Source organism: Homo sapiens, chromosome 5 (assembly GCF_000001405.40).
Source record: "Homo sapiens chromosome 5, GRCh38.p14 Primary Assembly".
Lineage (NCBI taxonomy): Eukaryota > Metazoa > Chordata > Mammalia > Primates > Hominidae > Homo > Homo sapiens.
In genome coordinates this window covers 108,976,902-108,990,342 of record NC_000005.10, presented here as the reverse complement: position 1 = coordinate 108,990,342, position 13,441 = coordinate 108,976,902, and the positions used below count along the sequence as shown (strand labels likewise).

Sequence of the window (13,441 nt, the reverse complement as noted above, 5' to 3'; positions counted from 1 at the left end):
TATTGAAACTTATTATCAACCATATTTTTTAAAGTTTGATTAAATATCTATCTACAGGAGAATTCAAATGAAAACCACCAAGTTAAAACAAGCTAGCAAAATCATGTTTCCTTCTAATACTATGTAAATACTAGCTTCCTTTCAGTTTCATCAGCATTTTAATTCAATGACTAAGCTAATTTAAAATTTGTTTTTGCTTGTATTAATATACACTAATGTTAAGAAGCTGCTTACTTTTATATGACTGTGACAGAAAAAATTAAATAGATTGTATGTGTCACATGTCCCAAATCACCTAATCAATTCTTTAGAAATTTACTGAGTATCTAGTAAGTACAAGGCACTAGGGGGACACAAAAAGTATTATGACATACTCCTTGACCTGAGACTGACTAGAGGGAAAAATGTGACTGCTTACAATAACTAAAACAAACATTGGTGAATATAGTACAAACTATCTTCTTCAAATTAAAATAAATGCATTAAATGTCTAGCTATATCATATTATACTATTTTGTATTAATGTATTCTCATGCTTACACCACATACGATTTTTATAAAGGAAATACTACTAAAATAATGACTATTTTAATTGCTTTCTTGGGCATTTTTCAAAGCTAATACTAATCATCAAGATGCAATGGGAGAGAAATAGTTATAAATAAGAGATACAAAAATGTTTAGAAAATCCTAATGTAATCAAATAAAGAAAAAATACACATATGTAATATTAGTTAAGTTCATCTGTTAAAACAAAAATGGAAAGATGGATAATATTTCACACTCAGAAAGAAAGGAATATGCTAAATGACCTAGGATTTTTTAAAGTATCCAGGAAGCTCATAAACAGGCCAATATTTCATTGGATTCATAATAAAATATTTTTTGGAACTTAGTATTTCTTAATGATTCTTAATATTTCTTAATATTTATTTCTTAATTATTTTCATTTGATTATTTGTAATGTAAAGCAACTGAAGAATATTGCAGAATGCAGTTTGGCAAAGGTTGTTGGTCTTTTTAAGAAATCCTGAAAGACCAACAGATCAGCATTATCCATCTTCATGCACTCCCATAATCGTTTTCTCATAATGACTAGTTCTGATTTTTTTCTATTATAATAAAAACAAGACGAGTAACACTCAGCATCCAGATTTTACACATTTGAAGATTATTTCAGTAGGACTGACTCCTGGTAATAAGATTAAAAGGTCAACAGTAAAATAAAATTGGAAATCAACTCCAAAAGGAACCTCAAAACCATGCAAATAAGTAGAAATTAAATAACCTGCTCGTGAATGACCGTTGCAAATGAAATCAAGATGGAAATTAAAAAATTCTTTGAACGAACAATAACAATGACACAATGTATCAAAACCTTTGGGATACAGCAAAGGTAGTGCTAAGAGGAAAGTTCCTTAAATGTCTACATCAAAAAGTCTGAAAGAGTACAAATAGACAATCTAAGGTCACACCTAAAGAAACAAGAAGAAACCAAACCCAAACCTATCACAAGAAAAGAAACAACAAAGATCAGAGCCAAACTAAATGAAACTGAAACAAATAACACCAAAACCAACAACAACAAAGATAAATGAAGCAAAAAGCTGGTTCTTTGAAAAGATAGATAAAATTGATAGATCATTAGCAGCATTAACCCAGAAAATAAGAAAGAAGATCCAAATAAGCTCAATTATAATTGAAATGGGAGATATTACAACTGATACCACGGAAATACAAAAGATCATTGAAGGCTACTATGAACACCTTTACGTACCTAAATTAGAAAACCTAGAGAAAACGGACAAATTCCTGGAAATAAAGGACCCTCCTAGATTAAACCAAGAAGAAACAGAAACTCTGAGCAGATCAGTAATAAGCAGTGAGATTGAAATGGTAATAAAAACTTGCCAACAAAAAAGTCCAGGACCAGATGGATTCACAGCTGAATTCTATCAGACATTCAAAGAAGAATTGGTACCAATCCTAGTGACACTATTCTCCAAGATAAAGAGAAAATACTCCCTAAATCATTCTATGAAGCCAATATCATCCTAATATCAAAATCAGAAAAGGACAGAGCAAAAAAAGAAAAACTACAGACCAACATTCCTGATGAATATAGATGCAAAAATCCTTAAGAAATACAAGCTAACCGAATCCAACAGAATATCAAAAGGACAATCCACCATGACCAAGTGGGTTTCATACCAGGGATGCAGGGATGGTTCAACATACACAAGTCAATAAACGTAATACACCACATAAACAGAATCAAAAACAGAAATCACATCATCTCAAGAAACGCAGAAAAAGCATTTGACAAAATTCAGCATCCGTTTGTGATTAACACCCTCAGCAATACTGGCAGAGAAGGGATATACCTTAACGTAATAAAAGCCATCTATGACAAACCCACAGCCAACATAATATTGAATGGGAAAAAGTTGAAAGCATTCCCTCTGAGAAGTGGAATGAGACAAGGACGCCCATTCTCACCACTTCCATTCAACATAGTACTGGAAGTCCTAGCCAGAGCAATCAGACAAGAGAAAAAAAATAAAGGGCATCCAAATTGGTAAAGAGGATATTAAACTGTTGCTGTTTGCTAATGATATGATTGTATACCTAGAAAACCCTAAAGACTCCTCCAAAAAGCTTGTAGAACTGGTAAATGAATTTGGCAAAGTTTCAGGATACAAAATTAATGTACACAAATCAGTAGCTCTTCCACACACCAACAGCAACCAAGCTGAGAATCAAATTAAGAACTCAAATTCCTTTACAATAGCTGCAAATAAAATAAAATAAAATAAAATTTAGGAATATACCTAACCACTGAGGTGAAAGACCTCTACAAGATTTTGGTTTTCGATTTTTTTGTTTTCTTTTTTTTGAGATGGAGTTTTGCTCTTGTTGCCCAGGCTGGAGTACAAGGGCGTGATCTCATCTCACTGCAACCTCCACCTCCCAGGTTCAAGCGATTCTCCTGCCTTAGCCTCCCAAGTAGCTGGGATTACAGGTGCCCACCACCATGCCCGGCTAATTTTTGTATTTTTAGTAGAGATGGGGTTTCGCCATGTTGGCCAGGCTGGTCTCGAAATCCTGACCTCATGTGATCTGCCTACCTTGGCTTCCCAAAGTGCTGGGATTACAGGTGTGAGCCATTGCACCCAGCCTCTACAAGGTTTTAAAACTACAAAACACTAAAACACTGCTGAAAGAAATCACAGAAAAAACAAACAAATGGAAACACATCTCAAGCTTATGGATGGGGTAGAATCAATATTATGAGAATGACCATATTACCAAGAGCAATCTACAAATTCAATGCAATTCCCATCAAAATACCACCATCATTCTTGACAGAACTAGAAAAAAAAAATCCTAAAACTCACATGGAAGCAAAAAAGAACCGTCATTGACAAAACAAGAGTAAACAAAAAGAACAAATCTGGAGGCATCACATTACCTGACTCCAAATTATGCTATAAAGCCACAGTCACCAAAACAGCACGGTACCGATATAAAAGTAGGCATAGACCAATGGAACAGAATAGAGAACCCAGAAATAAACCCAAATACTTACAGTCAACTGATCTTCAACAAAGCAAACAAAAACATAAAGTGGGTAAAGTACACCCTATTCAACAAATGTTGCTGGAATAATTGGAAAGTCACATGTAGAAGAATGAAATTGGATCCTCATTTCTCACCTTATACCAAAATCAACTCAAGATGGATCAAGGACTTAAATTTAAGATCTGAAACTATAAAAATACTAAAAGATAACATCAGAAAAACACTTCTAGACACTGGATTAGGCAAAGACTTCATAACCAAGAACCCAAAAGCAAATGCAACAAAAACAAAGATAAATATATGAGACTTAATTAAATGAAAAAGCTTCTGCACAGAAAAAGAAACAATCAGCAGAGCAAACAGACAACACATAGAGTGGAAGAAAATCTTCACAATCTATACATCTGAAAAAGGACTAATATCCAGAATCTACAATGAAGTCAAACAAATCAGGAAAAAAAAAAAAGAGAAGAAAAAAACCCAGCAAAAAGTGGGCTAACGACATGAATAGACAATTCTCAACAGAAGATATACAATTAGCCAACAAATATTTGATGAAATGCTCAACATCATTAATGATTAGGGAAATGCAAATCAAAACCACAATGTGATACCACCTTACTCCTACAAGAGTGGCCATAATAAAAAAAACAAAAAATAATACATGTTGGCATAGATGTGGTGAAAAGGGAACACTTCTACACTGCTGGTGGGAATATAAACAAGTATAACCACTATGGAAAACAATGTGGAGATTCCTTAAAGAAGTAAAAGTAGAACTACCATTTGATCCAGCAATCCCACCATTGGGTATCTATCCAGAGGAAAAGAAGTCATTGTACGAAAAAGGTATTTGCATACACATGTCTACAGGAGCACAATTTGCAATTGCAAAAATATGAAACCAACCCAAATGCCCATCAATCAATGAGTGGATAAAGAAATTGTGGTGTATATATACCATATAACACTATTCAGCCATAAAACAGAATAAAATAATGGCATTTGCAGCCACCTGGATGCAACTGGGGACCATTATTCTAAGTGAAGTAACAGAGGAATGAAAAACCAAACATCGTATGTTCTCACTCATGAGTGGGAGCTAAGCTATGAGGATGCAAAGGCATAAGAATGATACAATGGACTTTGGGGACTCGTGGGAAATGGTGGGAGGGAATCAGGGATATAAGACTACACACTGGGTACAGCGTATACTGCTCGGGTAATGGGTGCACCATAATCTCAGAAATCACAACCTCCATAAAGAACTTACTCATGTAAGCAAACACCACCTGCTCCCCAGAAACCTATTTAAAAAGAAAGAGAGAAAAAAAAACTTTTAAAAAGTGGAAAGAAACAAATAGTGACTATCAGGTTAAATGCACGAAAAAACAAAAATATTAAAAGGTCAAAGAGTAGAACAATTTATATTACTATTTACTGTAAAGATATCATCCCGTTATGGTCCAGCTTTTTAAATTTTGCTAAAAATGTTTCAAAAAATAAAATCTATTCAGAGCTATATTTGTACATATGGTTACATTGAATTGTCATACTTTACATTTATTTTTAAAAACAATTTTAGTCACTCTCATGTGACCTGTCAGCCCATGTCCACTCTCCATTTAAACCCTGAATTTGTAGTATGTTTCTCCCTATTTTTATGAGTTATTTGTATGATAAGCACTAGTTTTAATTCGTAATTTGTCTTATTATCTTGGAATTATTCTTTTAATATTTTAGATTAGAATATTATTAGATACTCAAAATTGCTAACATTAACCTTTTTTATTTTCTGTGGGTTTTCTAACCTCTAAATGTCTTATCTCCATGTCCAAAAGTTTATAAATATTAAGTTATATTTTATTCTTTCTTACAACTTGATTTTATATGTAATTCTAATTCATTTTAAAAGTATAATACTGTGAAAAGCAATGTCTAAACTGTTGCCTTACCAAATTGCTACCAGTTTATCTCACCACCACGGATTGAGAGAAAATTCCCTTTCCAATTGATTTTTGATATAGCCTTTGTTACAGTTTCCCCACGTACTTTTAGATAAATGACAATTTGTCATATTTGTGTGTTTTTCAGTGTAATAAAAAGACATGAGCATAATACTCAATAAATATTAAGTACTGTATTATATTCAATGAAATATAACTCAATGAATAATACAGAATGTAAAAAAAAAAAACTATCGTGGCATTTACTTATTCTCCAACATCATGTTTGGGATAAGAATAATTTCAGTTCCCAGTTAGTTTTCTTCTATAGTATTTTCAAATATGCTTTGATGATCCTTCAAACAAATCTTATACTCTTCAGCTTTATTCCCTAAGGATATTTAAACTTGTATATATAATAACTGGGATTTCGTAGGACATTTTATACAATTTTTATATTTATATCTTCTGAGCTATTATTAACTTGACTAATAGAATTGTTTCTGTACATCTGGTGAACACATTCTCAATTCCTTTTTCTATATTCCTCTAGATCTTTGCCTACAGTAACTTTAACTCCCCATAAAGAGAATTTTAAGAAATAAGAATGGTAAGACAGGATTCTGGGAAAACTTTTAGGGATCTTTTACTTTTGGAAGAATAAAAGGTAAGACAAGCAAAGGAAAGGACAGAAAACTGCTAGTAGAACTTGACCTAAAATAATATTTTTGAAAAATTAAATGAGTCCCCAGAGTATACATTTCAAGAAGAGTAGGCACCGTGTCTGTTTTGTTTTTTTACTGTATTGCCAGCACCAGAGGCAAAGCAGGTGCTCAATAAATATTTGCTGACTGCATGAAAGAAACCAAGAAAGCAGAGAGAAAGAGAGAGAGGATGATAGAGCAAAGGGAGAATGAAAGCGTGAGCACAAGTATACCGGTGTGTTAGCTTGCTTTCAGTAGCTATTTGAGATGTCTCATAATTCTATGCATTTTTGGAAGAAGAATCTGGGTAGTGCATTTTAGCTGACCTAGAAGGACTTGAAATCAGGAGCTGTTTAAATCACCATATGTCTCTTGCTCCTCTATGACCTTGATTCTGCCATTAAAATTGTAAACCGCTTAAAGTCAAATTTCACCCACAGACTTCAGATGAGTAACTCCAGTGTTCCCTCTGCTCTCAACTTAGGAATTCCATATGGCTTAGAAATACTACTCATCTGCTTAATGTGTTGATGAAACTACTAAGGATGACTGTAATGTCAAAAACTTCACTGTCATCAGAGGACAAAAATTAATTTACTACTTTACATATATTTCATACCTAGAAGAATACTATGAATCAGCTGTCCATATTTCTGCCCAAAATCTACTCAATTTTAAAATATAATTAGATTTCAACTTGGTTTAAACCAAAAGCACAAAGGCATTTTAAGGAAGCATACAGTAAAGTAAAAGAATAGGGGTTTTGAGGAAGCAGTAAAGAGCTCAGACTGGGAAAAAGTGTTAAATTATGGTCTAAGTATAAATCTTAGTCAGAGATGCTATTGGTTTTGTAATTTTGTGCTAGTAATTCCTTTTTCAGAAGTCACATTGAACAGAAATGTTCAATATGATGCTCAATTATGTCCAAAATTGTTCCTGACCCCGTACATATTTCCATATTGTCATAGCATCTCATCAAGATTAGAATTATTCAATTTATCAATTCACTCATTCAACAAATATTTACTGAATACATACTAGGTGCTAGGGAACACAATGGCACAAAATATATACCATCTTTGCCATCATGGGGTTTACTGTGTAGTGGTATTAGTATATTAGTAGTAGTAATAAATAACAGAAACGGTTAACATATTTAGTATGCATGCCATTTAAGACAACAGAACCAATGAGGTAAAATTATCACCATTTTATGGATGAGAAAATGAGGCTTAAGTAGGTAAATGCTAATAAATGCATAATTACAAAAAAAAGAGAAAAATGTTGAGAAGGAAAACTAAAGTGTGTAGGGAATATCTGATAATTGCCTAGGAGTTGGGGACATATTTCTGAAGAAATAATCTTCATAGTAGCTTTCTTGACTCAACCTAAAATATGACAGACCAAACATAGGTTTAAGAATTATAATTCTTACAAAGATGAACTTTACTATTTACTGTTTCAAATCACTTCAGAATGATTGCAGTGAATAGTTCATAAGAGGAATACCGAAAAAATAGTGTTAATGCAGAATATTATTTCGGATACCTTTCTTTTGAGTTCTATAAGACTGCAAAAATCAATTTTGGAACATCAACTTCTCCAAAAAGCCATAAAATAGGTATTTCTGCACCACTGATTCTTGATCATTAGGATGCTTGGAGATGATTAAAGTTTAAAGAGGTCATTGCTTATACCTCAAATAATTACCAGCCTAGTCCCTGATAAATGCAATTTTTTCTCTTATTACCAAAGGTAGAATGCACGTGCTTTTACTACAAACTCCTACTATATTCTCCATCTAAATTACAAAGATAAGGTCATAACAATAACTTACAGGCTCCAGATACCCTTTTTTTCTTTCCATCTAGATTACTTTATGTTACAGGTTCTCAAACTTTAGGGAACATCCAAATCACCTAGAAGTGTCATTAAAACGCAGAAAGCTGGGCCCTACTTTCAGAGTTTCTGATTCTGTAGGTGTGGGGTGGAGTCAGAAAATTTGCATTTCTAACAAGTTCCCAGGTGATGTTGACTTTACTGGTCCAGAGCCTGCGCTTTCAAAACCTCTGGTCTAAGAAGTGAGCCACAGGGAGGTCTATAAGTAAAAGTGGGAAAGTACTCATGTTTCCCAGTGTCAGTGGTCCTTAATTAGCATCATTGATGGTTATAAGAAACAGGCACAAAAATTCAATAAACTCTTACTATGAACATGAAATTACAGGCACTCTCCTCTTAGATGCCACTTGGAGAGGCAGCATGGCATAATGTTGAAGACAAAATACCCTCAAGTCAAAATGTCTGGGTTGGAATCCAAGCTCTGCCACTTAATAGTTATGCAGTCTTGAACAAATTATGTAACTTCTCTGTGCCTCAATTTCCTCATCCATAAAACTAGGAAAATAATATCCACCTCGTAAGATTTTTACAAAAATTTAATGAGTAAAGCACTTAGAACAATGTCTGATTTATATTACATATAAATGTTTATTAAATAAATGCTAGTCTTCTGATTAAAGCCTTACAAAAGCTATCTCTAAGGTCTCAGGACTATGCACAGCTGTTCTCTTCAGCACCTTCCTTTATTTTACACTTTTATTGTTTACCCACTCAGAACTGAATGTGTAGCCTATATCGACTTTAGAGGAACCTTGATAAACATTTCTGTATAATATTTACCTTATATAAGGAGGGAATATGTATTTATACCCTCCTTAAATATGTATATATGCTTTTTTTCTCTTCTCTCCAGTTTCAACATCCCCTCACTTTTAGCCTGTTTGATTTAACATAGCTTTGCAAATGTCTCCTAATCCTTTAGGGGAATTAAGCAAGATATATAAATCAATGACCCCCATAAATATGCTCTGACTTTTTCCTATGTTTAAATACTACAGTCATTAAACAATGGAAGTAAACTAAAACACATTATTAAGCTTCAATTATGAACTAAAAAAAAAACTTCAGCGATTGTGTATTACCTTTTACACAATAATGAGCTATAATACAAGCATACCTTATTTTATTGTGCTTCACTTTACTGTGATTTGTAGATATTTCTTACAAATTGAAGGTTTGGCAACCGTGGGTCAATCAAGTCTATTGATGTCATTTTCCAACAGCGTGTGCTCACTTCTTCTCTAAAAAACCCTACCAAAAGTTATTCTTTTCCCCTTTAACAAAAACATGTTTTTCAGTTTTTACTAAAATTTTATCAAATGACAAGAAATCTGAATTATAAGTTGAATGTTATATCTGTCCAACAAAACACTTGTTTCTTTTGCTTCTTCAAATAATTCAGTAATAGGGTCAGACCCACAGAGGATATTCAACAATCACTCATGGACTATGACAATCAGGTGACAATAATGAAAATGCTCAGTCTTCTGAAGGGTGTTTGGAAATTCACTCTGTTATCGGTCTAAACCTATAAACACTGTTTCTTCATTATGACTTCTAAATGCTTCCTTTGATCTTGCAAAGGGCCTGAAAAACCAACCAATTTCAAACAGATTAGTCTGTGACATGGGAATTGAGGATGAAATTTCACATTTCTATATACATCAGGTGAAATGGCATTGAAGAAATAGTAAGTGCTATTTTGGCTTGGAATATTTCTGTTAGAAAGAAGAATCAAAACAATTACAGGAGTTTATCAAAACAAGAGACGCTCTCCTGTATAGATGAATACTGAATATTCAATTTATGCAAAAATTTTAGACCTTTGTAAATTTTCTTGGTCTTTACTCTTCTCTATGGCCTTCCTCTTTTTCTAAGATTTTAGACCTCAAGGATCCCAATGCTTCTTGCTTTTTTACTCTCTCCTGGCCTACCAGTATAAATTTATACATAGAGGCATGGTACATGGCTGAAATGAATGTCATTCACAGTAAGATTTTCCCTGAATCAGTCATTTGTAACTTCATCCTTTTGATCTCACTCACAGAAAGAAAAAAATTTGATTTTGTTTTTTATGTTGTTTGTTTTGTTTCAAGGATTTGTTTCTGTTCCTCATCCTCATTGAAACAATTGATTACTCAGTATGGGCTGAACAGAAAAAAAACAAAAGTTTTGTAATTTAGAACAGTGCTTCTCAAACCACAGATCACTTTAATGATAATTACCTGGTATCTTTTTGAAAATGCAGATCTTGGTGCCCCATCCCATATTCACTGGATCCTAATCCCATTGTAATGGTCCTAGAACCTCCACAACTCACAAACAGTGCAGATGACCCGCACATATCTAAACACTGAACACTACTATCTGAGGGTAATTATTCAACTTGTATTCATATAAAAAGGCAATGTCACACTAAAAGTATTTCTTCTAAAATAAATTTTTATAAGAAAAAAAGGACACAACAGGAGACAATGCCTCATGGCCCTTAGTCAACATAGAAAAATTGGCTCACAAGATGAATTATTTTTCACTAGTAACAGAGAGAAACTTCTATTGTATTATATCAAGTATGAACAAGATTAGAATGATCTTATGCCACATTTAATGATATACTTAGCAAATGGATATTTTAATAAGAATTACTTTTTAATTTTTTAATTAAGCCTTTCTCTATACTTAAAGTAATGCCGTGTAATATTTTTTGAACTCTTGACTCTGACTTAATATTTAAATGCTTAATACATCTACTGTTCAAACTGTAACTTATAAATACTGACTTCTTAATTTCTTTATTTTGGAGTTAATGCTTTCACCACTTTGCCCTTCCAACAACACTGTGAAGTAGGTACAGAAAATGAAATTCAGGGAAAGAGATTAAGCATATTGTCCAATGTCTCACAGGAAAAACAAATAATCTAGCAAAGATACAGCTGGTAGAGAAGGTGTCAAGCTGAATCGACTTCTGAACAGGCTTTCCTGCCAGATTTCTTCCAGGAAATAATCAGGAAGAACTTTACAGGAAAGAATATTGCTTTAATTGTCTATAACCACAAGCTAGGATTTCTAAGGGTAAATAATGGAAATGCAATTTGCCAACAATCAAAGTGGTAACTCAGGCCTCTCCAAATATCTAAAAAAATAGTTTGATTCACAATATCTATGATATTGAGAATAATACAAATAAGCTCTACAGGAATGACACACACAAGAAATCACTGAATCATTAAACAATAATTATTTCCTTACCTACAGGTAGTTGCATAACACTTCCAAGTTTGTAATCCCAATAATTTCTCCAATCTGAATATTTTTTAGTTTCATTGGCTCTTTCTTGAAGGTGACTACTAGAATTATAATCTAAGGGATGTAAGTGCCACTCACGTCCTTGAGTAAGAACCAGACTATTGTCTCTGACTTATTAATTATAATATTCCTATTAATGCCTAGATCGTTTTGGGCTTCATGTACACAGTTTGCATCTATGAGTATATATAGTGTTCTGTTCTTTAAAACATTCTCTCAACGCATATTTATTGAGTACCTTTTATGTGCCACAATGGATCAAGGAAGACAAAGATGAATTAATATACTCCCGGACTTCACAAATCCACAACAGAAGTATTTTTAAAAAATAATTTCAATACTACACAATAAATAATGTAATCATGCTTGTGAATTGTATGCAAGCACAGGGAAAGGAGGACTTAATATGAACTGGTAGAGTTAAGAAAGACTTTAAACAGAATTGATGCCCAAAATATATTTCCAAGAAAGAGCGCAGCGTTACAAAGATAGAAAGGTATGAAATAACAGACCACATTCTGGGAGTGAAAGGGATTTTGGTAAATTGCAGCTTCAGACATGCAAAGGATTGTCAGGAGAAACAACTGGAAAAACTGAAAAAATCTATAAAGGATTTTTGTATGTTAGAATGTATCAACCTGATCAATGAGTAATGTAGATTCATTAGGGTATTTTAAGCATTTAAAGAACATAATCGGTCATTATTTTAGATATTCCAAACATCTAAACATGACAAAGGCAAACAAGAGAAACAGGAGTTAGCTAGGCACGATGGCTCATGCCTGTAATACCAGCACTTTAGGAGACCAAGGCGGGCAGACGCTTGAGCTCAGGAGTTCAAGACCAGCCTGGGCAATGCGGTGAAACCCCATCTCTACTAAAAATACAAATATTAGCCAATCGTGGTGGCATGCATCAGTGGTCCCAGCTACCTCGGGAGGCTGAGGCAGGAGGATCGCTTGGGCCCAGGAGGCAGGGGCTGCAGTGAGCCAAGATCGTACCACTGCACTCCAGCTGGGTGACATAGTGAGACTCCATCTAAACAAAAGAGAGAGAAGAGAGAAACAGGAGTCGCTTCACAAGTGTCTGACCCACATTGCTGAAGGCCTCAGCTGAGATAGCCGCAGCAAGGAAATAGAGCAGGTAACAAATCTGAAAGCCATTATGAGGTTTAAGTTACAGGAATTCATGACTTATTAAATGTGAAGGATGAGGAAAAGGGAGTATATAAACATTCCAAATATGTTTTTATAATAGAATGGATAGTGTTAACAAAGACCAAAACTGAAAAGTAGGGGCAGTGGGGAACATAGAAGTAAATCAACATAATGAGTTCATGCTTATAAATGCTGAGTTTGAGGTTCTATATTATTATACAGTTGACCCTTGAACTACATAGGTTTGAACTGTGTGGATTCACTTATACATGGACTTTTTAAATTAAATACATTGGAAAATATTTTTGGAAATTTGAGACAACTTGGAAAAGCAGATGAATTGCCTAGCCTAGAAATATTGAGAAAAAATAAGAAAAAGGTATGTCATGAATCCATAAAATACATCTAACTATTAGTCTATCTTATTTACTACCATAAAATATACATAAACCTATTATAAAAAGTTAAAATTTATCAGAATTTATACACAAACAGACCATACATGGTGCCATTTATAGCTCAGAAAAATATGAACATAAAAATGCAGTATTAAATCACAACTGCATAAAATTAACTGTAGTACATACATTACTACTGTAATAATTTTGTAGCTACCTCTCACTGCTATTGTGGTGAGCTCAAGTGTTGCAAATATCTGCTTAAAATGCTGTGTGATGCTAATCATCTCTGTGTGAGCAGTTTGTCTCTGTACTAAACTCTATCACAGTAAAAAGTGATCTCTTGTGGTTCTTGTGAATTTTTCATCATGTTTTATGCAATACCATAAACCTTGAATAACACCATGGGACCCACATAAAGTGCCACTAGTGATGCTGGAAATGTTCCC

The 13,441-nt window shown here is 33.6% G+C and overlaps 1 protein-coding gene across 22 annotated transcripts in view; it reads right to left on the bottom strand.

Moving 5' to 3' along the window:
* The window catches only part of FER (FER tyrosine kinase), a 448,945-nt gene that overhangs the window by 206,499 nt on the left and 229,005 nt on the right, over positions 1 to 13,441 (bottom strand). For 3 of the 22 annotated variants that reach the window (XM_047416945.1, XM_047416942.1, XM_047416944.1), the window contains one exon: positions 8,980 to 9,718. The exons of 18 other annotated variants lie outside the window; for them this stretch is intronic. In XM_047416945.1, coding sequence (XP_047272901.1) covers positions 9,689 to 9,718 — 30 coding nt within the window. In that variant the 3' untranslated portion in view covers positions 8,980 to 9,688. Of the gene's footprint in view, positions 1 to 4,665; positions 4,890 to 8,979; positions 9,719 to 13,441 lie in introns of those variants that run through there. One more of the 22 variants, XR_007058590.1, reaches the window with a different exon arrangement.